The 23,131-nt window shown below is 54.7% G+C and overlaps 3 protein-coding genes and 1 long non-coding RNA gene across 28 annotated transcripts in view, besides 9 other annotated features; 2 read left to right on the forward strand and 2 right to left on the reverse strand.

The window, feature by feature from the left end:
* Window positions 1-2,782, reverse strand: part of LOC105372706 (uncharacterized) — a 22,542-nt gene extending 19,760 nt beyond the window's left edge. For both annotated transcript variants that reach the window (XR_936963.2, XR_936962.2), the window contains exon 1: window positions 2,554-2,782. This is a non-coding gene — a long non-coding RNA (uncharacterized LOC105372706). The remainder of the gene's footprint in view (window positions 1-2,553) is intronic.
* Window positions 632-1,721: a silencer, noted in NCBI's record as "silent region_13096". NCBI's record gives its function as "represses an Ori minimal core promoter by ATAC-STARR-seq in GM12878 lymphoblastoid cells {active_cell/tissue: GM12878}" and the evidence as "EXISTENCE:reporter gene assay evidence [ECO:0000049][PMID:35858748]".
* Window positions 632-1,772: a biological region, named in NCBI's record as "H3K27ac hESC enhancer GRCh37_chr20:60697043-60697730".
* Window positions 1,085-1,772: an enhancer, noted in NCBI's record as "H3K27ac hESC enhancer chr20:60697043-60697730 (GRCh37/hg19 assembly coordinates)". NCBI's record gives its function as "activates a minimal SCP1, AML or CMV promoter by ChIP-STARR-seq in primed H9 embryonic stem cells {active_cell/tissue: H9 hESC(primed)}" and the evidence as "EXISTENCE:reporter gene assay evidence [ECO:0000049][PMID:30033119]".
* On the forward strand, window positions 1,573-14,472 carry LSM14B (LSM family member 14B). Of its 18 annotated transcripts, XR_936509.3 has the most exons (12): window positions 1,573-1,891; window positions 3,715-3,878; window positions 5,324-5,537; window positions 6,683-6,799; window positions 8,023-8,130; window positions 8,883-9,050; window positions 9,317-9,394; window positions 9,628-9,789; window positions 10,454-10,604; window positions 11,454-11,522; window positions 11,657-12,286; window positions 12,388-12,478. XR_936509.3 is itself a non-coding variant. In XM_011528605.3 (11 exons), exons 1-10 carry the CDS (start codon window positions 1,765-1,767, stop codon window positions 12,557-12,559), a joined length of 1,461 nt encoding a protein of 486 aa, XP_011526907.1. In that variant the 5' UTR covers window positions 1,573-1,764; the 3' UTR covers window positions 12,560-12,573; window positions 13,261-14,472. The 18 variants fall into 18 exon arrangements, 16 of the variants coding, with proteins under 16 accessions (XP_011526907.1, XP_011526908.1, XP_011526909.1 ...); XR_936508.3 differs by having other exon boundaries at window positions 11,454-12,286; XM_011528605.3 differs by lacking the exons at window positions 11,454-11,522; window positions 11,657-12,286 and adding an exon at window positions 13,261-14,472 and having other exon boundaries at window positions 12,388-12,573.
* Window positions 1,773-2,461: an enhancer, noted in NCBI's record as "H3K27ac-H3K4me1 hESC enhancer chr20:60697731-60698419 (GRCh37/hg19 assembly coordinates)". NCBI's record gives its function as "activates a minimal SCP1, AML or CMV promoter by ChIP-STARR-seq in primed H9 embryonic stem cells {active_cell/tissue: H9 hESC(primed)}" and the evidence as "EXISTENCE:reporter gene assay evidence [ECO:0000049][PMID:30033119]".
* Window positions 1,882-2,421: a silencer, noted in NCBI's record as "silent region_13097". NCBI's record gives its function as "represses an Ori minimal core promoter by ATAC-STARR-seq in GM12878 lymphoblastoid cells {active_cell/tissue: GM12878}" and the evidence as "EXISTENCE:reporter gene assay evidence [ECO:0000049][PMID:35858748]".
* Window positions 2,462-3,149: an enhancer, noted in NCBI's record as "H3K4me1 hESC enhancer chr20:60698420-60699107 (GRCh37/hg19 assembly coordinates)". NCBI's record gives its function as "activates a minimal SCP1, AML or CMV promoter by ChIP-STARR-seq in naive H9 embryonic stem cells {active_cell/tissue: H9 hESC(naive)}" and the evidence as "EXISTENCE:reporter gene assay evidence [ECO:0000049][PMID:30033119]".
* Window positions 12,941-13,440: an enhancer, noted in NCBI's record as "H3K4me1 hESC enhancer chr20:60708899-60709398 (GRCh37/hg19 assembly coordinates)". NCBI's record gives its function as "activates a minimal SCP1, AML or CMV promoter by ChIP-STARR-seq in primed H9 embryonic stem cells {active_cell/tissue: H9 hESC(primed)}" and the evidence as "EXISTENCE:reporter gene assay evidence [ECO:0000049][PMID:30033119]".
* On the reverse strand, window positions 15,831-22,492 carry PSMA7 (proteasome 20S subunit alpha 7). The gene is made up of 7 exons (NM_002792.4): window positions 22,306-22,492; window positions 19,916-20,042; window positions 18,879-19,003; window positions 18,173-18,295; window positions 17,269-17,388; window positions 16,462-16,524; window positions 15,831-16,047 (listed from the first exon to the last, which is right to left on the reverse strand). Exons 1-7 carry the CDS (start codon window positions 22,399-22,401, stop codon window positions 15,955-15,957), a joined length of 747 nt encoding a protein of 248 aa, NP_002783.1. The 5' UTR covers window positions 22,402-22,492; the 3' UTR covers window positions 15,831-15,954.
* Window positions 21,694-22,333: a silencer, noted in NCBI's record as "silent region_13098". NCBI's record gives its function as "represses an Ori minimal core promoter by ATAC-STARR-seq in GM12878 lymphoblastoid cells {active_cell/tissue: GM12878}" and the evidence as "EXISTENCE:reporter gene assay evidence [ECO:0000049][PMID:35858748]".
* Window positions 22,374-23,083: a silencer, noted in NCBI's record as "silent region_13099". NCBI's record gives its function as "represses an Ori minimal core promoter by ATAC-STARR-seq in GM12878 lymphoblastoid cells {active_cell/tissue: GM12878}" and the evidence as "EXISTENCE:reporter gene assay evidence [ECO:0000049][PMID:35858748]".
* Window positions 22,867-23,131, forward strand: part of SS18L1 (SS18L1 subunit of BAF chromatin remodeling complex) — a 38,746-nt gene continuing 38,481 nt past the window's right edge. For all 7 annotated transcript variants that reach the window (XR_007067449.1, NR_125980.3, NR_125981.3 and 4 more), the window contains exon 1: window positions 22,867-22,987. Coding sequence is in view for 2 of the 7 variants with exons in the window: in NM_198935.3 (NP_945173.1) it covers window positions 22,919-22,987 (69 nt within the window). In the remaining 5 variants the exon portion in view is untranslated. The remainder of the gene's footprint in view (window positions 22,988-23,131) is intronic.

The following is a 23,131-nucleotide window of genomic DNA, read 5'->3' on the forward strand; positions in this document are numbered from 1 at the left end:
CCCCAGGAGCTGGAACTACAAGTATGTGCCCCCACACTCGCCCAATTTTTTTTAAAGTTTTTTTTTTTTTTGTAGAGATGGGGTCTCCATATGTCGCCCAGGCTGATCTCAAACTCCTGGCCTCCAGTGATCTTCCCGCTTCGGCCTCCCAGAGTGCTGAGATTACAGGCATGAGCCACCCACCACGCCATCTGATATCTTCTAGCTTATTCTATTTCATTTTTATTATTATTTTTCTTGAGACGGGGTCTAGCTCTGTCGCCCAGGCTGGAATGCAGTGGTGAGATCTCTGCTGACTGCAATCTTCACGTCTCAGGCTCAAGCGATTCTCCTGCCTCAGACTCCCGAGTAGCTGGGGATTACACGTGTCTGTCACCACGCCCGGCTAGTTTTTTTGTATTTTTAGAGTAGAGACAGGGTTTCACCATTTTGCCCAGGCTGGTCTTGAACTCCTCACCTCAAGTGATCCGCCCGCCTCCGCCTCCCAAAGTGTTGGGATTACAGGCGTGAGCCACCGCGCCCAGCCTATTGCATTTTTATAGTCACCACCCACTACTTTTTTTTTCCAGGACCCAATATTGGTCCGTGATCTGATGATGTTCACGGTCAAGACGGAAGCAAAAAAAGCACACACCGCGCGCCCTCGGTCACTAATCACGCGGAGTATACGCGAGGAGGGCCCGCAGCTAAGCGACGGCGGGCGGCCGAGCTTCCTCCACGGCCGGGGAGGTGGGCAAGGCCTCCGGGCCGCAGCCCCGGGTACGAGCGGAGGCTCCGAGGCCCCCGGTAGCCAGTCAGAATTTATTTTAAGGGAAATGGAAAGCTGCGGCAGGCTTTGGGAGGAGGGGCAGGATTAAAAGAGAAAGTGTGCTCAGCATGTTATATTTAGAGGCTGCCACGCCGGAAGCGCCGCCTTCCCGGGAGCTGCCGCCGCGCCCGCCCCCCGCCGGCACCTGGGCACTGGGGCGGGAGTCCCGGGGCTGCCCGGGAACACCCGGCGCCCAGGGCCTCCGCCACTCCCCGGTCCCCCATGAGGGTGAGGGCTATAGGCGCATCTGGCCCAAGATAGGGGAGTCGTCCGGACCCCACTTCTGTAGGAGGGGAAACTGAGGCCAAGGGGGCAAAGCCCCCGTGTTCGCGGCGCCCAGGGTCCGGGGCGGCGCCGGCACGCGCGCGGGCGGGGCCTGGCGCTCCTCCCCGGTCCCGCCCACTGAGCGTGCAAACCGCAGCCGCCCGCCCACGCGCACGCGCGCTCCTCCCGGGCCGCTTCCCACCCCTCCCCCCGCCCGCTCAGTCTCGTGCTCCCAGCTCCGCGAGGGGCCCGCCGGGAGCCGGCCGAGGGTGGGGCGGATCGCCGGGGAGACCCGCCCCCGGCCAGCGGCGCCTTGCTGCGCAGGAACGACGCGAGGGCCCGCCCCCCAGCTGGCGGCCCGGCCATATTTAAAGGACGGCGGGCGCGGCGAGCCAATGGGCGGCGAGCGTGAAGGGGCGGTGCGTGGCGGTGCGTGGCGGCGCGAGGCCCCGGATGTGGCTGCGGCGGCCCCTCCTCCCCCGCGCTCCTCTCAGAGCCCCAGTCGCGCGCCCCTTCTTGGTTCGCTCGGTGCCCGCGCAGGCCCCTCGGGCGGTGGCGAGGAGGCGCCCAGGCGGAGGCGGCGGCGGGCGGAGGAGCGCAGGAGCGGGCGGCCAGGCCACCGCGCGGCGGCGGAGCGGGCCGCGGCCCGGCGCTCCTTCCCCACCGCGGCCCGACGCACCCCGGCCGCCGCCATGAGCGGCTCCTCAGGCACCCCGTATCTGGGCAGCAAGATCAGCCTCATCTCCAAGGCGCAGATCCGCTACGAGGGCATTCTCTACACCATCGACACCGACAACTCCACCGTGGCGCTCGCCAAAGGTAGCGGCCGCCGCCCGCCCGAGCCCGCTGACCCCCGTCCGCCAACAGCCCCGGCCTGCGGTGCCCTCCCCGCCCCGGGGCGCCCCGGAGCCTGGCGCCCAGACCCCGCCCAGAACCCACCCAGGGCACACCCGGCCCGAGATCCCCTGCCCGCGCCTTCACCCCGGACGCCCCCGAGGCGCCCCCTTCCCGCGCGCCACCCTCCCCCAGCGTAGCCGGCCGCACAATGGTCTCCCTGGGCTCCCAGGGCGGCGGGATTGTGCGCGGGCGCCCGGCGGTGTTTGGTGAGGGGCGGGCCCGGCCCCCGCGGTGCCGCCCCCTCGGCCGCCCAGCCCACCTCTGCAGGTGCCAGCTCCGAGGAGCAGGGCGGCTCCCGTCAGCGGGCCTCCTCCCCGCCAGCCTGGGGGGATCCCTGCGGGGGAGCCTCGAGGTCGGGTGGCGGGGCCAGTGTCCCGGCGTCTCCCGAAGGCTGGGGGTGGGGTCACAACACGCGAATCCTGCAAGCCTTTCTGGAACTTATTAGACAGCTGGGGCCTTGATCCTGAACAAATACCGCGTCCTAATGCGGCCTCCTGCCAAGGCAGAAGCATCCGTTGGCAGCCAGATGCCCCGGTTTAAACGGTTCTCCTGCTCTATCCTGACCTTCCCACTGTGGGGCTTACCTTTTGGTGACAGCCGCCTGTGGGTGCTCGTAACCGGCTGTGGCCGCTGGAGGACTTACAGGAGGGGGGCTCTTTAGAGTCAGAATCTCTGAGGTTGTTGAGGCAGCGGGTGGTCCAGAGTTTCTTTGTCTTCATCACCCAGAGAAGACGGGGAGTGCACTTCCCCTGCCTCTCAGAGAAAAGTGCCCGTGGAGCCACGTCTGCCTAAGCCCGTGTGTGTGCTGGATCTGGCGCTAGGCTCCCAGGGGTTCTTGAAGTGTCTAGACGCGTCTGAAACGCTGCTTAGGTCACAGGGAACTTCATGTGTAGAAGAACGCACTCATTCCAAACAGGGAGTGTCTCCTTTTGAAGCCCGTCTCCTGCGTGGCTTCAGGAGCTTGTTGAGTATGCCAGGGCTATGCACTCACTTGCAGCCATGGAACCTCACTACACTTATTACAGGAGAGCCCAGTTAGAGAAGCTGAGGCCCAGAGTAGGCCCAGGAGTTAGCAGGAGTTGTGTCTTACCAGTTAGAGGCTGCTGTCCCACCCACCTCTGCCCCTAGAGGCTTGCTAGAAAGAGACTTGGGCGCTCCTGGAAGCCTGCTGGTTAGGGGTTAGTAGACTCAATTCCTTATAGATGCGGAAGCCGGGGTCAGAGGTCCATAATCCTGGGACCCTGTCTCCCTTTGTTTTCTGTTACAGCTGTTCCAAGGTTTGTTATGGATAGAAGGGTAAGGGCAACACTCGTCTAGATTCCTTTGTGAGAAAACTGCCTCCTCAGGCGCAATGTGCGGTGAGGCTTTGGGCATAAAGCAGCCGGCTGGCTGTTGGATCTACAGAGTCAAACGTGAACAGGGAGGCCTTACGAAGCAAGCCTTGTTTTGCTGAGAGCTCTGTACGTTGGTGCCTTCGCACATCAGACTGTCAGTCTGTGAAATTGTTCCTTGTCATCTTTGTGATCTAGAGCTGTCTGTTGTCTGGAGCTTCACCAATTGGTGCATTATCAGCACTGTCCATTGAAAATCGGGGCATTAAGTAGTTGTTGAAATGTGGACCTGGGGTGCTGTGTTGTGGCTCTGAGCAAGTGTCGCCGTCTTTTGGAAGGCTTGGGAGCAGTGGTGTCAGGGTTGATTGAACTGGCTGAGGACAACAATAACGCTTCTCTTTCTCCACTCATAAGTGAGGTCCTTTGGCACTGAAGACCGTCCCACAGATAGGCCTGCGCCCCCCAGAGAGGAGATTTATGAGTACATCATTTTCCGAGGAAGTGACATCAAGGATATCACTGTGTGTGAACCTCCGAAAGCTCAGCACACACTCCCGCAGGATCCCGCCATTGTTCAGGTAAGTGTGCCACTGTCCCTCTGTGCATGCTGTAGGAGATGCTGGTTTCCATTTGGAGCTTGGTGGCATGTTTGGTCAGAACGCTCAATGTGAGGAATAACCTTTTTTTTTTTTTCTTTGAGGCAGCGTCTCGCTGTGTCACCAGGCTGGAGGTCAGTGGCGTGATCTCAGCTCATTGCAACTTTGGCTTCCCAGGTTCAAGCAATTCTCCTGCCTCAGCCTCCCGAGTAGCTGGGACTACAGGGACGCACCACCATGCCCAGCTAATTTTTGTAATTTTAGTAGAGACGGGGTTTCACCATGTTGGCCAGGATGGTCTCAATCTCTTGACCTTGTGATGCACCCGCCTTGGCCTCCCAAAGTGCTAGGATTACAGGCGTGAGCCACCACACCCAGCCTGAGGAATAACCTTTTAATGAAAAGTGGCTTAACTTTTGTCCAGGCTGTTGCTGCTCTCACAGAAGGTGTTGATTCTTGTAGCACACACAGTAGGTGGTGTGTGCTGTGTCACGTGGCTCTTAAGGAAGGCGACCTGGGGAGTTGGGTGTGCATGTGCGCGTGTGTAGTGTAGTGTGGTATGAGTGGATGCTCCTGGACCTGTGATGTTTCGGGCATAGCGTTTGCCCTTAGTTTCTGGTTGGAGAAGTCTGAGCCCTGAGCAGCTGCTGTGAGTGGCGTGACCTACCTGCAGGGACTGCAGGGCTTGCCCTCGGGTTACGCCCAGTCGTTACATGCTGCTGTTATACAACACCAGATTTGCAAGTCTGATGCCATGTGCCTGCTTATTGGGTTATGGCTTATTTTGCCCATGCTCCCCCAGGGAGCCCAGATTAATATTTTCTTCACTTCTAAATTTAAATATTCACTAGCTCCTCTGGGGTTCAGACTGCATTAGGTTCTGTGCTGAGCACCCATCCTGGAAGGTGGGATCACACAGGGCCGGCTTTGGGAGCAGTGGGAAGCCATCCGATGGCTTTGAGTTAGGAGAAATTTGGGTTAGAATTACATGGACAAGACACCTGTAATCCCAGCACTTTGGGAGGCCGAGGTGGGCAGATCACCTGAGGTCAGGAGTTCAAGACCAGCTTGGCCAACATAGCAAAACCGCGTCTCTACCAAAAATACAAAAATTAGCTGGGTGTGGTGGTGGGCATCTGTAATCTCAGCTACTCGGGAGGCTGAGGCTGGGAGAATCGCTTGAACCTGGGAGGCAGAGGTTGCAGTGAGCTGAGATCACGCCATTGCACTCCAGCCCAGGCGACAGAGCAATACTCTTTCAAAAAACAAAAAACAAAACAAAACAAAAAAAGGAATTACATGGACAGGTGAAACTGGAACTGAAATGCTGTGGAAAAGGCAGCTCTCACCATACTGGAAACTTGCACCCCAAGGGCTCCTCCAGCATCTCAAGGGTGCAGGCTGATGGGACGGTGCTTGTTTCCCAGCTGAACAAGCGCCCTGATGAAGGCGTGCGGGGTGATGGGATGGCCTTCGCCGTTCTCACCCGATGTCTCGTTGTTCAGTCTTCCCTGGGTTCTGCCTCCGCCTCGCCCTTCCAGCCGCACGTGCCTTACAGCCCTTTCCGAGGGATGGCGCCCTACGGCCCGCTGGCGGCCAGCTCCCTGCTCAGCCAGCAGTATGCCGCCTCCCTGGGTCTAGGTGAGTGACCTGTTTCTGTCTGGTAAACTACCCTTGCGTGTAACTGTCACTGAGTGGAGCGATGGAGCCTGAGGGTGGGGATATGCATTCCTGTCATGCTCAGCTTGTAGACTGTTTTGTTGCACACTTAGTAAATTACCCAGTGCAACTTCCGCTTGTGAGAGCATTTAGTAACTACTCAACTGAAAGTAAAAGAGGCAGCAGCCTGAGTGTTGGAACAGAAGAATCAAATCAAAATTCATTCGAAGAGTCAGGGCGGATCTAGGTGGAAGTCCTGGGCCAGGCATAGTGGCTCACTCCTGTAATCCCAGCACTTTAGGAGGCCAAGGCGGGTGGATCACAAGGTCAGGAGTTCGAGACCAGCCTGGCCAACATGGGGAAATCCTGTCTCTACTAGAAATACAAAAATTAGCTGGGTGTGGTGGGACACACCTGTAATCCCAGCTACTTGGGGGGTTGAGGCATGAGAATTGCTTAAACCTGGGAGGCAGAGGTTGCAGTGAACTGAGATTGCACCACTGCACTCTAGCCTGAGCGGCACAGTGAGACTCTGTCTCAAAAAATAAATAGGTGGAAGTCCTGGTATATCTGCTTCAAAGAAGAAATAGCTGATATATATGTAGTATTACAGATGAAGTCTAGCTGTTTGCACATTTATAAGCCTGTAAATATAGACGTGAAATACAAACCCACCCATCATGTCCCTTATTCTACTGTAAGTGCCTCGCTCAAAAATGGTTTCAACCAAGATTGAAAAACCCCAGAGTATGATTCTATTCTCCATATGTAGAGAAAGATCCTGCCTTGTCCTTAACCTGGACCTAGCTTTGCAGATGGGCTCAGAGTGTAGAATTGGCAGGTGATCCACGACCCTTGCTCAGAATCCAGCATGAAGTAGTGAGACAGGGAACCCTAAACGAGGTCTGTAGGCCACTTGCTGCTACAAATCATGCTTGCTTGGTTGCTATTCCTAGTGTGACAGGCGGCCTTCCCAGCCCAGCTCTCTGGGTTTCTAAAACGTGTTTGTATGACAGAATCCTACAAGAGGTTGCTTGGCTCTTTCCAAGCTTGCTAGACACAAGACAAGTGTATCCTGACTTATTTGTGTGCTTTCTTTTTGCTCTTTCTCCTTTATCTTCCTTTAGAGAAGTTGGTAAGCCCTCCAGCCTCAGCCGCTGCTTCCAGCCCTAGCTCTTCTCCATCTCCACAGCCCGTTTCAGAGCTTGACTTGTCCTCAGAGCCACAGCAGCTCACTGCCAAGGGTAACAGCAGTTTGGGAGAACTGCATGCTGTCTTGCAAACCATTCTGAGAGCGAGGGGTAAAGCAGCAGACAGAATGACAGTAGCTGTAGCAGATCATTTGCCAAGCCCATGCAGCCGCTGAGCTGCTTGTTTTGCTTCAGCATGTAGTCCTGATTGATGAACTCTCAGTGTTAAAGAAGGGATTACGAAGAATCAGCGGAGTAGTTTGTTCTCTCTCCCTGGGTCCAGGTTCTCTGTTGACCTGTACCATGACTACCACATACGGGAAACTTCACTGTTCACAGAAAGTCATTTCCCTGGGGTTTTTGCTGGGTCCTAAATGTGTTCCAGAGTGCTGCAGGGGGGACTCCCCAAAGCACCTGACATGCCTGTTTTGCTCTTTGATCCGTGTGGTTCATAGATCACTCATTGAGGGGATTCAAAATTAGGGGCTTGGGTGACAGTCGCCAACTGTTTGGCCAGGTGGACAGTATCAGCCTGATGGCCAGCTGGCCAGTGTACACCACCTGTCTCTGTGCTGTGGTGGTGGCGGCACCTGTGGGGTTTCTAGATCTTTTCTCACGTTCTACTCATTTCCCCTGAAGTTCTAAAATTCATATTGACGATCTTGCTGTATGTTTGTGTTACACATAGCACCCTGACAAGCTGAACCATCGCCATTACCCGGCCCTGGTCCAGGTTGATGCCTGGGCTTTCCTTATGGCACACAGCTGCTGTCAGTCTGTCATTCTGCAGGTGCTGCTTTCCAAATCCTGCATGCACTCTGTGTATCTGAGTTACAGAGTAGTCTTTTTTTTTCCCCCACTTAAAAATGACACAGATACTTCTATTGCTCTTAGGATCAGTTACCTAAACCTGCTCATAGGGCAAGACTTTGTTTGAACTAGTTGGTTGTGTAAAAAGCAGACAAGCCCCTTATCCATGCCCCTGCAGTCACAGTATGATCAGCAGGCAGGCAGTGCTGTGTTTGTCTCCCGGACATGCTGAGTGAGACAATCAGTGAGAAAGTGGCCCGGGTGCATTCCCGCCAGAGGACACTTTCCAGACCTCTATGCAGAGTCGTTCCAACCTGCCCTTTGAGAGCTTCTCTTGATCTGGTTACAAGGAATTTTTCTACAGTCAATTTTTTTTTTCATTTCTATTCCGTAAAAGCAGTAAGATGAGATGCCCAGTCTTCATGTGTATTGGGCTGTTCGTCTAATAATAATTACCCTGTGGTTAGGGTGCCTTTTCTGTTTCAGATCTCTGTTCACTTACACCCAGTCCCACATTGTCCTGTTTAGAGTCCCTACAGGTCCTGGAACCTTGGAAAGGGAGGAGATGGAGAGAGGTGGGTGGTGCTTCCCATTTTCCTCCTGATTCAGAGGGCCTGGTTTCTGAGGGTTCATCCCCTGTGCGTGGGCCTCGGACTGCAGTTTCATAGGCATAGCCCCTTGCCAAAGGCTACCTAGGAGCCCTTTGTGTCTTCATGATGAGCCTTTGCCCTTGAGAGAAGTGTAGGCTGCTACGTCTCGGAAGTCAGCTCCTGCTTCATCATTTTTAGTTTTATTGTGCCTTAAGTGGAAATGACAGTGTTGTAGAATTTAACTTCAGAATTTGTTCACTGCATTTTCTAGAAAATCCCAGGCTGGGCTGGTTCTTCTCCAGTGTGGACCAGAATGAAACAAATTCTCAGATCCTGAATTCATCAGGATCTTGGGGCTGCTGAGCTCCTTTGGGATTGGAGCTTGTGTGGTTTTAAGAAAGCTGTTTCCACACTTCTGGGGAGGTGCCTGTTTGTAGGCACGGTGTTTTTCCTGTCCTTGAGGTTCCCTAACTTGGGAAGCTCAGGGCTTTGGGAGTGGGGAGTCCAAAGATGAACTGGCCTTGGTGCTGCCCAGTGACTCTTGGCCTTCTTTTGCTGCCTGGGCTAGCCTCAGAGGGAATGGCCCAGTCTGGGGGTGCTTTGCCTGGATTTGATAGAACATCTAGGCAGTTGCCCTCCTTTCCTTCCTGACATGCCAGCAGAAGAGAAATGCCTGGAGATATAAGGCTTGCTTCTTTTCTCTCTGTTTTTAAACCCTCCTCCCCTCCTCAATTCAGGAGCTGGTTTTCCATCCATCCCAGTCGGCAAGAGCCCCATGGTGGAGCAGGCTGTGCAGACTGGTTCTGCTGACAACCTGAATGCTAAAAAGCTGTTACCTGGCAAGGGCACCACAGGGACGCAGCTCAACGGTCGTCAGGCCCAGCCGAGCAGCAAGACGGCCAGCGGTACTTGAACACATCATTTCCTGGAGTTTGCTTGATGTTCTAAAAGTGGCACACTACTTCCTGGGCTATTTTTTTTTTTTTAATTAAAAAAATACTACTCCCCCATCCTAAGCCCCATGTGCTTTTGCAGGGCAGGCCTGTGCAGCAGCCTCCTGCGGTGCCGCCCTGGCCGCGTGCCCCATGGTGGTGGGGCCTGCTTCCACAGCTGGGTTCTGGCTTCCGGCTGCTATAGGAGCTTTGCCTTACTCTTCCCTTTTGCGCCGTAGATGTAGTCCAGCCGGCAGCTGTGCAAGCTCAAGGGCAGGTGAATGACGAGAACAGAAGACCTCAGAGGAGGCGATCAGGTAACACCTGTTGCCACTTGATTTCTGGGGACCACGAGTGATCAGGCTGAGCTCTGCTTGCCCTCCTGCCTGCTTCTCTGGTTGACGGTTTCAGGGGTGCTGGTGTGAAGTCGCTGCTTGTGTGCTCTGTTCCTTCTGTGGCCTTGGGGGTGTGCCTGGAAATTCCTTGTGAGGTGTTTGAGATCACTGGGTTGGTGACCTACTTCAGCCAGGGCTGTCCTTTGTCCTCACAGGAAACAGGCGAACAAGGAATCGCTCCAGAGGGCAAAACCGTCCAACTAACGTTAAGGAAAACACAATCAAATTTGAGGGTGACTTTGATTTCGAGAGTGCAAATGCCCAGTTCAACCGAGAGGAGCTTGACAAAGAATTTAAGAAGAAACTGAATTTTAAAGGTTTGGCTCATTATATGAAAATTATTCTCTGCACAGGAGTACCCCTAGAGAGTGTTAGGAGGAGATGCCTGGCCGGGTGTGGTGGTTCACGCCTGTAATCTCAGCACTTTGGGAGGCTGAGGTGGGTGGATCACCTGAGGTCAGGAGTTCAACACCAGCCTGGCCAACACAATGAAACCCCATCTGTACTAAAAATCCAAAAATTAGCCAGGCGTGGTGGTGGGCGCCTGTAATCCCAGCTACTCGGGAGACTGAGACAGGAGAATCGTTTGAACCCAGGAGGTGGAGGTTGCAGTGGGAGTGAGCCAAGATTGCGCCACTGCACTCCAGCCGGGCGATAGAGCAAGACTCTGTCTCAAGGAAAAGGAAGAGATGCCTAGAGGAACCGGGGATGCCAGGCGGATGGTGACCGGCAGTGAGGAATTAATGAAGTGAGGTGCTGGGAGGTGTGAAAATGGGTGGGATAAGGTGCAGACTGCACAGCCCAGACGGCAGAACGAGACCTGTACTTAGAAGGTAGAAGAAGAGATTTCTGCTTTGCACAAGGCATAGTTGATGTCTTAGCTTGAGGGTGGCTTCCGAGTGAGCCCGGAGGGACCACCCTGCTAAAAGGCTGTGCGCTCTGCCCCTCCTCCATCTCCACGTGTTCTGCTTCTTTTTGTAGATGACAAGGCTGAGAAGGGGGAAGAGAAGGACCTGGCTGTGGTGACCCAGAGTGCCGAAGCGCCCGCTGAGGAAGACCTTCTGGGGCCCAACTGCTACTATGACAAATCCAAGTCGTTCTTCGACAACATCTCTTCTGAACTCAAGACCAGGTGAGAGGCTGAATGAATGAGGGGAGGACAGTCCTCCAATCTAGAAAGGACAGGGCTGAGGGCTCTCAACCTGAGGGCAGAGCTGGACTCTGAGGCTCAGGGTAGCTGTTCTAGGGTCCTGCTTGCGTTTCTGCATGATGGGTGCCGGAGTCCCAGCAGGTTGCGTGTGGGAAGCCTCTTGGGGATCCCGACCCGAGGAGTTGGCTGAGGTCGAGCCTGTTTCCTCTTGGCTTTGCTGCCCTGTCCCCACAAAGGCTGGGCTGCACCGCCCCCCCCGGCAGACCCGTGTCCACATTCAGCATACCTCACGGTGCTCTGCTTGCTGGTCCCGCTGGCCTGGCAGCCTGAGGTCCTTGCTTAGCAGCCTGAGGTATGGCTAGAACGTGCTCACACTGGCTTTCCTTCACTTCATTGTTTGAGGCCAGGGACCATGTGGTGTGTTTTATTTTTCACACCTAACAGCTGGTCAGAAGTCCCGCGAAGCACCCTAGGGAGTGGGTGGCATCTACAGTGTGGGCCTGGCTTGGAAACTTGGGCCCATTTGTCCTGCAGATTGAGCGCCAGACATGCCGCGGGGCGTTGAGGGGGCCTCAGAAGGCAGGCTGGAGAGCGCCACCTCTTCAGGTTCATGTTCTGCCAGGGGAAAAATAGAACAGCATGTCGTGAAGGCCAGGCAGTGAGGGCGATGGGATGGGGCTGTAACTCGATGGGAAGTGGATGATCAGTTCTCACAGGCAGAGCAGGCTGCGCAGATGAGTGCGGGAAGTGCTTCCAGACAGGCCGAGTCTGGGGGATGGGTTCCTGTAGGGTTTTGTAGGGCATGGCAGTGACTTTGGCTTTTGTTCCAAGTGCCGCGGGAAGCCATCAGAGGGTTTTGTGCTGAAGCGTGGTGCGGTCTGATGTTTTACGGCGTCCTTGGTGAGAGTGGTTGGACGGTGGGCAAGTGTGGCTGCTGACTGGCCAGTTAGGGGCCAGTGCTGCAGCACAGGTGGCTTGGAACCAGGCAGTGGTGGTGACAGAGGGAAGGAGTAGAGTCTAAATGTGTCTTGAAGGTGGCGCTAACAGAATTGGCCAACATGACAAGAGAAGAGTCCAGAATGACTCCTAAGTCTTTTGGCCTGGGCGGCTGATGGGTGGAGTTGCTGTTTCTTTGAACACGGAAGTCTGTGGGAGCAGCAGGTTTCCGGCTGAAGAGGAGCTCAGGGTGGGTGTGCTGCTGGAGCTGTTGTCTGCGTCGGTAGGAGTGCTGGGTGGGAGTGCTGGGTGCACAGTTGGATGTGGGAGATAGTCTCCCACCAGCAGCTTGTTTGGGTGGCATGAGTGTCCATGCTGTATCCCTGTCTTTCAAACTCCCAAAGCAGAAGCATCACATTCCAGGGAACTTGTTCCATCTATCCTAGCCTCCTCCTTGTCTAGGAGGGTCCACTTCATGGTCCGGTCTCAGGTCTCCTGGGCCCCTGGGCCTCCCCAGGGCTCCTCTCTGTGCCCAGCGAGCAACAGCGGCTGCCTTGGTAGCCAACTAGTATCACTGCTTGCCTGTGGTGCCAGAGATGGTAGAGATGGATCCCGATCCCCGGCCCACTGTGGAGACAGTCCTGGTTGGAAACGTGGCAGGGAGCACCTGCAGTGCCGGAGCTGGGCTCCAGAGCTGACGGGGCCGCCCCTTCCCTGTAGTGGCCCTGGTGAGTCTGTCCCTCCTTCCCTGGGCCGCTCTGAGGACGAGGCCTGGCCAGAAGCCTGGGAGTCAGTGCCTGCTACAATCAGCATTTCCTCTGTGGTTTAGCTCCAGGCGGACGACGTGGGCCGAAGAGAGGAAGCTCAACACAGAGACCTTTGGGGTGTCAGGGAGGTTTCTTCGTGGCCGCAGTTCTCGGGGCGGATTCCGAGGAGGCAGGGGCAATGGGACCACCCGTCGCAACCCCACTTCCCACAGGGCCGGGACTGGCAGGGTGTGAGGGTGCAGCCAAAGGTGAGTGGATGAACCTTCTGGACGCTTTGGTGGGAGGGTGTAGGGTCAGGCACACCTGGAGAGCTTAGGAAGGTGGGGAGCAGGCTCGGTTTCCCAGGAAGAAGAGAGGCCCAGAGGTGTCAAAGCCAAACCGAGGGCCTCGACCCTATGAGTCACCCGGGAGGCTCTTGGCCAACTTCAACCTGCATCTGTGGGGGTAGGATCCAGGCCCCAGCATCCTCCAAGTGAGATTGCAGGTATGGGAGGTGAGGTGGTGCGGGAGTCGCGTGGGCTGGGGGCTCACCACCCAGGTGAAGCCAGCAAGTGAGACCTTGCTCCAAAGCCAGTGTCTTGGCCCAACCCGGCCCTAAGTGAATCAGAGGCTTCATTTTTAACCAGGTCCCAGTGGATTTGTGGGCACCTTAGGGTTTGGGCGGAGCGTCCCACATGGGGTGCCTGGTGCCAACCCCACCCAGCGCCTCGGGACAGCCAGGTGGGCCCTGGAAAGACTAGCCCTCCTGCCACTAGCTGCGTCCCTGTCCCCAGTGTATTGTACAAGTAGGATTCTCAGAGTGGGTTGTGAGAAGAATGGGGGTAGCCAGTCTGACTCTGGGGGCAGGAGGGAGGCTGAGTGGCTCCTGCTCGCCAGCAGGGGCAACAGTGCTAGCTTATCCCAGCAGATGCTTGACTTCCTGTCATCTCTTGCAGGCTCCTACTGAAGTGGCGCATAACTGACGCTGTGTGTGTCAGGACGCGAGGAAAACGCTGCACTTACAGGGAGAGGTGGTCACTTTGTTTACGGAGTTTGGAAGAGACCCATACTGCTACTTGTGTTTTGGACTTAACTGAACTTGGACATGGTCTGAGTTAGAACCACTTGTTTTGGGGAAGTATTCATGGGTAACCTCTTTGAGGTCTCTTTATCTGTGTTTCCTTTTTAGTTGCGCATAGCCTAATTCTAAGGTTTTGGTATTTTGCAAAAAGGTTTCTATAGTGAAAGCTGAATCCTTACTTTGTGACTTTTTTTTTTTTTTTTAATGACAAGCTTTGACTTTTAAAAGTGGAACCAAATCTGTTGGCAGAGGTGGCAGCCAAGTACATCTCTGTAACCCAGCTGGCCCCTGGTGCTGTTGGCCTGGCACCCCACTGCCAAGGGTGGGGTCTCAGGAGTCAGGCAGGGCCAGCACAGGGTGGCGTGGGGGGCAGGGGTGGGTGGGTGGAGGGCACGGAAGGGGTTTTCCCATGGATCATGTTGTATAAGTGAACCAGACCACCCTGATGGCATCCACAGTGATGTCAAGGTTGGGGCTGGCCAGGGGTGGGTGGACTAGAAGCATTTGGGAGTAGTGGCCAGGGGCCCTGGACGCTAGCCACGGAGCTGCTGCACAGAGCCTGGTGTCCACAAGCTTCCAGGTTGGGGTTGGAGCCTGGGATGAGCCCCGGCAGCGCCTTGGCCCTTCTGTGGTCCCTGCCAGCCTCTGACCTGGGCCGGTCAGTCATTGCTGGACTCTGGCCACACACTGGCGTTCTCATCCACTTGGAAACAAGCCAGTCTTTTCTGCAAGGTCAGTTGACCAAGAGCATATTTCCCCTCTGTTGTACATCGTTGTTTTGTGTTTGTGTTGTAACAGTGGGTGGAGGGAGGGTGGGGTCTACATTTGTTGCATGAGTCGATGGGTCAGAACTTTAGTATACGCATGCGTCCTCTGAGTGACAGGGCATTTTGTCGAAAATAAGCACCTTGGTAACTAAACCCCTCTAATAGCTATAAAGGCTTTAGTTCTGTATTGATTAAGTTACTGTAAAAGCTTGGGTTTATTTTTGTAGGACTTAATGGCTAAGAATTAGAACATAGCAAGGGGGCTCCTCTGTTGGAGTAATGTAAATTGTAATTATAAATAAACATGCAAACCTTTAAAATTTTCTTTTCTGATGCTCTAAGAATCCTGTTGACTCTTCTGCCCAAGTCACCTCTGCATCATGTCCAGGTCTGGAGCACACACTTAGGCTGGTGGAATTTGGGGAGACTTGGGCCCCATCAGGTGATGGAACGAGGTGGCTGACCCAATTGGTCGGGTGAAGTGCGGCCAGCAGACCCGGGTTCTCCCTGTGGGCCACCCTTCTGGGATGAATGGCTCTGCTCTCAGAAACTGGATACAAAGTTCTTTTAAAAACCCAGCTCACAGATAACACCTGTATCATAAGCAGTGGCCCCTTTGCCACCTTCCTGCTGCCTCCAAGCTCCCCAGCTCAGGAGCGTTCAGGTTCTCAGGCACCGTAGAGCATGTTACACAGCCATGAGCAAGCTGCACCCTGGACCCACGCAGAAAAACAAAGACATGGCTGGTTCTAGGCTCAGAGCATCCCATTTTAGTCTAATGGGTTTCCAGGTGACCTTAAAAGTGGCCCTCAGAGAGGACGAGGAGACACACCAGCTGCATGAGTTCTCCTTTCATTACCTGCCTGTGGCCATCAGGCTCCACAGCAGAACTGCCAGTGGGGGGCCCTCCCATTTCTTGGGTGGGGGTAATGGGTATCCTTGACCAGCAGAAAAATAAATGTTACGTGTGCCAGATACTGGTGGCCACAGTCCTCACCCAGCTAGAGAACTTGGTGAAACAGGTATTGCCTCCCAGAGCATCGCAAGGTAGTCAGGTTATCGTGTGCCAGCTGACCTTGCTGTTAAAATGTTCATTGTTTTGACAACTGTACATTTTACGCTGAGCTCAAAATGTATCTGGGCCCCTTTACTCCTTTTTAGAAGATACATGCCCAAAACCAAGGACCAGAGGACCCAAAAGCCTTAAACTGTGGGACTAGAAGTCAAAACACAGGAAAGGGCAGAGAATAGCCAGAACCAGTCTTCAACATAGGGGGCAGACGTCAAGATGTGGTCTATGAAAGTCAGACATGCAAAGCTGCTTTGAACAAAGCTGCTGCTCTACAGAATGAACCCAGGGCTACTTGTGTTTGTGTCCTTGACATTATACATTCATTAGGGGACTAGAATGAAGGTCTAAAAGCAAACGGAAGTCATTCTGTGTCTACAACAGAGAAACAGGTCTGCTGAAGGCCAGGTTTCTCTGCAGGACCCAGGGCAGCAGCTCTGACTTCCCAAGGGAGGAACCTGTGTCTCACACTGGCTTACTGTCTTAGCCACAAGGAACAGAAAGGAAAGCTCAATTACGGTGGCTCAGGGTTGAAAAAGAAGGGTGAGAGATGAGAGGACTGCTGTGATTGCACCTAAAGATACACATTCTCTTAAAAAAAAAAACAGGTTAAAAATACGGAAGTTTATTGTAGGACACTCAGTGTGAATAAATGGAATGGAAAGGCCTACACATCGAGACTCATCCATGATTGATATGAATTTAAAAATTACAAGCAAAGACATTTTATTCATCATGATGCTTTCTTTTGTTTCTTCTTTTCGTTTTCTTCTTTTTCTTTTTCAATTTCAGCAACATACTTCTCAATTTCTTCAGGATTTAAAATCTATAGAAAAAAACTTCATGGTTACCTAAGCCACACAAGGTGCCAAGGAACCAGCGCCCTCTTCTGGGGAGGGCGGCCAGGCTTTGGCACTGCTGCTCATACAGCCTCTTTGGAGAGGAACCTCAAGAAAAACAAGAGGATGCTGGCCTGACCTAGACAAGTATTAAGCAGCAGTAGCAGCAGCAGCAGATCTGACTGGCAGCCGCTCAGCATGCCCAGAGAACACGCGTGGACCATCTAATCAGAGGAAGATGGGAATCTTCTCTTTGACGTATGGGGAGCCTCAGAAAGACATTTTCCTAATGTTAAAACCACAGAATGGCCCTATGATGTTTCCTTCGGAACTGGTACTGCTCAGCCCTGATCATGGGAGAAAACTGACAGGTAAAGAAAGCAGACAAACTTGGTGATTACCTTGAGGGATTGATCTCGCCTCATGACAGCAAGTTCAATGTTTTTGCCACCTGACTGAACCACCTTGAAGGGACAGAAGACAGGAGCATTAACCACCTTTCCCTATTCAAGACAAAAGCAGCTCTCAGGAGTACCTTAAATAGGTGTGTACCCAAACCCAGCACCGTCCCAGGAACAGAGGTCCCAGCCCCCAAAACCTGTGTCTTTGTCCTAAACTCATGGCCATTTGTGAAGTCTGTTTGGGATGCCTGCACACCCCTCCGCCTCCCAGCACTGGGACTCCTCTCTCCTGCACAGTAGCGCTGCTCCAGGCCCTCCTCTTGACACAGTGGTTACAACCAGGAATCCTGATGCCTACGCTCCCGCCTGGCCTTCCAGCTAGTCCCTCTCTGGTTTTACCTGCTAGCACTTCAAGGTCTTGACAAAGCCCAACCATATCTCCAGTTCTCTAATCCCCTGACTTTAGCAACAGTTCAAGCCTCTGGAAGGCCTAGTGATGGCTCGAGAACAGATTCCACAGCTGGACAGCTGGGTTCACATCCTGCCTCTGGTTCTCATGCTGTGTGTCCCTGCACAACCCTCAGCTGCCCCGGCTGGATAAAGACACTAATGATCACATCTTGCATGGCTATTTCAAGGAACACAGCAGTTAGGATACACCATAGACCAGAGCAGTGCCTGGAACACAGCAGTCATTAAGCATTACTGCTGGATCCTTGCCACCTTCCTTCCTGCTCATCTACCTACCACTCACCACCAAAACGTGGTATCTTCACCACCTTGCCTGGATTCCAAATGCAAACTTACTTCCAGGAGTGCCTTGATCACCAGCTTAATGGTCAGATCATCTGTTTCAATGGCTTCGTCAGTATAGTTCTTCTCCAGGAACTCGCGCACTGACTTGGCACCCCGACCTATGGCATTGGCCTAAAACAGACACGTATGTTCTCACGTGGCATAGGGCATGACAACCCAGGGCCAGCCCTGGAACACAGCTGCCCTACATGGGCCGCCCAGCCAGTGGCAGTGGCAGGAGGCAAGCTGGAGTGCTGGACAGCAGCTGTGGACACAGGCCCTGCCTCGTGGCTTCCTTTTGCAAAGAGCTCTTTAGAGTTGATGCTGATTCTTACCGAGAATGGGGTTATACGATTGTATGTTTTACTGCGCTATCAAGAGGCAATGGGAGATTTTTTTTTTTTTTTTTTTTTGAGGTAGAGTTTTGCTCTTGTTGCCCAGCCTGGAGTGCAGTGGTGTGATCTCGGCTCACTGCAACCTATGCCTCTCGGGTTCAAGCGATTTTCCTGCCTCAGCCTCCTGAGTAGCTGGGATTACAGGCATGTGCCACCATGCCCAGCAAATTTTTTTTGTATTTTTAGTGGAGACAGGGTTCTGCCATGTTGGCCAGGCTGGTCTCGAACACCTGACCTCAGGTGATCCAACTGCCTCGGCCTCCCAAAGTGCTGGGATTACAGGCGTGAGTCACCACGCCCACCCAAGAATTTTAATTTATGTGGACTACGCTTACACCTTGCTGCCCTTTGATTTTCTTCCAAACAGCAATGTTTAATCATTTTCTTGCTCTCATAGGACTAGGTTAACTTAAACTGACTCATTCACTGATACAGGGCCTACAGCAGGAAGCCCAGGACCTCCCACCCCTCAAAGCCTTTTTCTGGCAAGACTGTCCAAAGCCCCTTTGTCACGAACTCACCTTCCAGGCATGGTATGTGCCCGAGGGGTCAGTCTGATAGAGCCTAGGAGTGCCATCAAAGTCGAAACCCACGATGAGGGCAGAGATGCCAAACGGCCTGCGCCCATTGCTCTGCGTATAACGCTAGCAAGAAAAGAAACAGGTCAGTGCCATCCAATTAAGAAACTGCATGTGAGGAAAGAACCGTACTTAGTGAAGATACGAACATTTTAAACCATGCCTGAGCCCCTTCTCAGGTTATCAGCAGTTCAAATGATACATTAGCCAATAGCTTTCAACATCCTTTTCTGCATTTTCACTCCTAGAAAAACTCACCTAGGACCAGAATTGTGAACTCAGGTTACTGGAAATTACTTTGACAGGTAGACACACATTCTGCTTACATACTAATGGCGTGTCCTCATAGGGTGGCTTCCAGCCCCCTTCAACTGCTTTGTGACTGGTCACTCAGGATGGCAAGACAAAAGCTATCATTTCCCTCCAGACACAGGAATTTGGAATATCCCATGCCAGGAACTGAGAACAGAACAATGTTACTGAAATTGGTGAGCTAGGTCAAGTTACACTTGTGCAAGTCAAGATTAGGATCACGCCCCAGAATAAATCAGTTTTCTGATTCACCTGAAGTGACATGGCAGGACCCTCCATGGCGGAGCCGTGACTGCCCTGCTGCCAGAGGTGAGCATGCAAGCGGGCAGGCACCCACCTGCTTCAGACTGGCGATGTAGCGGGTGATGTACTCCACAGTGACCGGGTCCTCCACAGTCAGCCGGTGGCTCTGGCACTCCACCCGGGCCCTGTTGATGACTATCCTTGCATCGGCGGTGAGGCCTGCAAGGAAAGCAGAGAGGCTTCTGCTAGAGAGACAGCACAAACTACAGGGTGGGGACAGACACGATGACCCAGCATTTAACCTTCCACAGACCCCCCAAACCGGCAGCAAGGCTATTCTAACTGACTGGCAGCGGAACCTATCAGCCCCTGGGAACTTCCAGGAAATTGGGTACAGATGCTTCTTGATGTGCAGTGGGGTGGTATCCCGCTAAACTCATCGTAAGTCAAAAATACCTGGCTGAAAATGCATTTACTACCCCATAAACCCATTGTAAATAAAAAATTGTAGGCTGCCGTGCAGAATCTGGATTTTTAAAAACACAGATCAACAGGGACTGTCTGCATATGAAGAATTGTGTACTTCAGACCATACTTAAATACAGTACCTGAGTCCTCTTGGGAATCTTAGAAATTGAGTTAATCCCTAATTTCATTACATGAATTGAGATCTTCCTAGATTGCATCTGCTGAGAGGAGAAATGAGCAAGACCAAAACAGCGCTGAGAACATGGCGAGGCATGGCCTGCATCCACCAGTGTGGTCCTTTTTACTGCTGGGGATGGCAGGACGTGGTTCTGTCCTCTCCATGCCACAGATGCAGTTAGCTCTAGAAAGTCCAGCCTTTCTCTAGATTGTAACTGATTGATACAGAAAAATAACAGTGGAGGTCAAATTGCGCAGCAGCCAGAAGTGTTTTCATCCATTTAGCCATTTGTTTCACCTGCTATGGCAGAGAGAGGCCACCAAAGAAACTAGCCAACTTAAAAGTCCAAATCCAATTCTTTTAAATGATTTTCATTTACTCAGTTTATATGGCTCACAATAGCCCACACACCCAAGTTAATCTCCAAAGCCCTATTCTTCGCTGAGACTCTAGAGAGTAAGACAGCGCTCCCCACCGACTCATACCTGCAAAGGCCATGCAGACGTTGTCATCCAAAGCACAGATCTTCCGCACTGTTCTTTCATCCTGCAGTTTGGCCACTGACTTCTTCTCCACACCAAGAACAACAATGTCTCTTCCTCGAACACCAACCTTTAATTAAGATCCACAAACCACGTAAGAAAGTGATATGAGTGCTGGGTGCAGTGGCTCATGCCTGTTAATTCCAGCACTTTGGGAGGCTGAGGTGGGTGGATGACTTAAATTCAAGAGTTCAAGACCAGCCGGACAACATGGGAAAACCCTGTCTCTACAAAAAGTACAAAAATTAGCCAGGTGTGGTGGCTGAAGCCTGTAGTCCCAGCTACTGTGGGGGCTGGTGGGAGGATCGCTAGAGCCTGGAAGGTGGAGGCTGCAGTGAGCCATGACGGCTGGGAGACAGAGACAGCAAGACCCTGTCCCCTCACCCCACCCTATCCTCCCAAAAAAGTGATACATGGTTCTACTGCCAGGCAGCGAGCAGTAGGAGCAGATCTGAACCTGGGTCCTGGGGGGTACGTACTCCGGGTAGCAGCTCCCACTGGAAGGTGCGTTCACCCACACCCCTTTCTCCTCTACTTGTCTGTCACTGTGGCTGGCACCACATCCTGCAAACCCAGGGGTATTCATCTACTGCTGGTAGAGCTAGCCCAGGCGTGCTCACCTAGGTGCCCAACCTGGGCCTTTCAAATACTGAGATGTAGTTTTAGTTACAACATAGCTAGTAAGTAACCATTATATAATCGGCATGTGTTTCCTTTCAACCCAATGAATCAGTCCCATGCAAAGCCTGGAAGCCTGAGACTTTCACTCAAGTCTGGTGTTCTGAAGGCAGTGTTTCTGTAGTTGTGAAATTATATTGAGCCACAATGCACTGTTTCCTGCACTGTGACATACTCATGTGACAGCCATGAGAAGGGGCCTGATTTGCCGTCAGTGGACAAGGTGTCAAGTGTTATCCCAAACTGTTTATGGCTGATGCTGGAGAAGGATATGGCTGTTATTAAAAGCATGAACAATCACTGACAGTCAACCCGAGTCAAGCCAGAAACAAAGGGAACCATCATTGGGATAAACAGCGCCTCCTGGTTTAGAGCAGGGCTTCTCCAGCTCAGCACTGTGAGCACCTGGGCAGGGGGATCTCCCTGTGCCTGCCGCCCTGAGCACGGGTGGGATATTGAGCAGCGTCCCTGGCCTCTACCCTCCAAATGCCAAGAGCACCTCTGCAAGGTCTTACCACTGGAAAAGTCTCCACACACTGCCAGTGGCTCCGTGTGGGCCCAAAACCATCCCTGGCTGAGAAGTATTGATCTGAAGTGTTTGGGTTTTCTGGGAGCTTTCTCAGGTACTGACTCACTTGACCTTCGACTGACTCGAGGCCCAGAGAAGCTATATGGGTTCGTTAAAGCCAGCGGCGGCCAGCTGGCGGGGGTGGCAGTATTGGGGTGGGTACAGGGGTCAGCCGACTCCTAGTCCTCTTTAAGCTGAGTTAGATCACCTGATGAATACTGGGCCTTCATTTCAAAACAAAGATTCAGAAAATGAAAACAAATCAAAATTTACAGAACCGTGTGTGCTGCTTTCTCTGCCTGCTCAAACCTCTGAATACCAGATGATAAAAGAATAACGATCTCACAGACTGACCAATTAAACTGACACGTCTTGATGGTACGAATTTAAGTTTCAAACAATGTCACTAAGGTCAATGTACACGAGCCCTCGTCAAAACGAAACGGCCGCGTCCAAACCAGTCCTGACCCGGGCGGCTGCAGCCCGGCCCCGGGAAGGCTCCTCCCGGCAGAGTGCGGAGACCTGGGAGGCGCCCGCCACCGGCCAGGCCAGCGAGCCGCTTTGTTCTCGAAGCCCACCTGGGCCTAGAGAATAAGTGTTGCCCCGGAGCGGGTGGGGGTCCCCATAAGGGGGGTTTGAGTAGTTCGCTCCCCAGCCACCCGGCTGCGTGAACAGCCCCCCAGCGAGCGCACGGCCTACCCCCCGCGCTCCGCGGCCCAGAGCGGCCCTCGCCCGGCCTCTGCTCGCCGGGGCGGCGGCGCGACCCACGCGCCCGGCCGGGGCCAGGGGTGCTCAAGATGGCGTCGTCACGGCCCCCGTGCCCGGGGCCCCACGCGAGGCCGGGCCCCAAGCGAGGCGCTGAGTGGGGAGAACGAGCGCTCGCGGCTCACGCCAAACGCCGCCTCTGCAGGCACTCGTGGAGACCGGCAGCGGGGCCCGCGCTCAGCTACAGCCCTGACCGCCCGCGCCGCTGCCCCGCGCACGCCCGCGGGCGCCCACAGCGCCGCGCCCGGCCCCGGCCCTCTCTGGGCTCCCCAGCCCCACTTCCGCCCGCGTCCCCGGCCCCGCGCAGGCCCCGCCGCCTCACCGCGGTCGAGCCCTTCTTGACGGCCTCCTGCGCGTACTCCACTTGGAAGAGGTGGCCGTCGGGCGAGAAGACGGTGATGGCGCGGTCGTAGCTCATGCCGGCGGGCGGCGGCCGGGCTCCTTCCGCCGCGACTCTCAAAAGCGCACACTCACGGCCCGCGCGCACCCGCGACTCCCGGCGCCACTACGCCCGCGCCCCACCCTCGGCGCCGTGTCCTGCGCTGCCGGCGACGGGCGGCGTCAGGCGGCGACGGGCAGCGTCAGGCGGCGTCGGGCGGACGTGATGGCGCGCGCCGGGGCGGGGTCAGGCCGAACCACCGGTGGCCGGGGGTGGGAGGCGGTGCTCCGGCGAGGGCCGGGCGCTGGGTGCGAGGGGGTCGCCGGGGGCCACCGTTCGGCACTGGGCCGCAGACCGTTCTGCAGGGCGGAGCGGCGGCGCCGCGGGCCCGGAGGCGCGGCGACGGCGACGGGGCGGACGAGCCCACGACGCGGCGCCCCCCGCGCTCCCGCCCCCTTCCCCCCCTCCGCGACTGCGGATAATGAGCGCCTCGGGCCGCCCAGCGCAGCCGGAGTATCCACCTCGATGACCACGGGCTGAGCCCCGCGCCGCCACCATGTCCGTGGCCTTCGCGTCTGCCCGGCCAAGAGGCAAAGGGGAGGTTACGCAGCAAACCATCCAGAAGGTGGGCCGGGCCGGAGCGGCGGCGCTGGGCGGCGGGTCTGCGGGCGGGCGCGCGCGGGGACGGGGCGCGGGCAGCTGGCGGGCGCGGGGCGCGAACAAAGCCGGGGCGCAGCCGGGCGGCCGCGAGCCCCGACGGCGGCCCCGT

This window comes from Homo sapiens, chromosome 20 (genome assembly GCF_000001405.40).
Source record: "Homo sapiens chromosome 20, GRCh38.p14 Primary Assembly".
In the NCBI taxonomy this organism is placed as follows: Eukaryota; Metazoa; Chordata; class Mammalia; order Primates; family Hominidae; genus Homo; species Homo sapiens.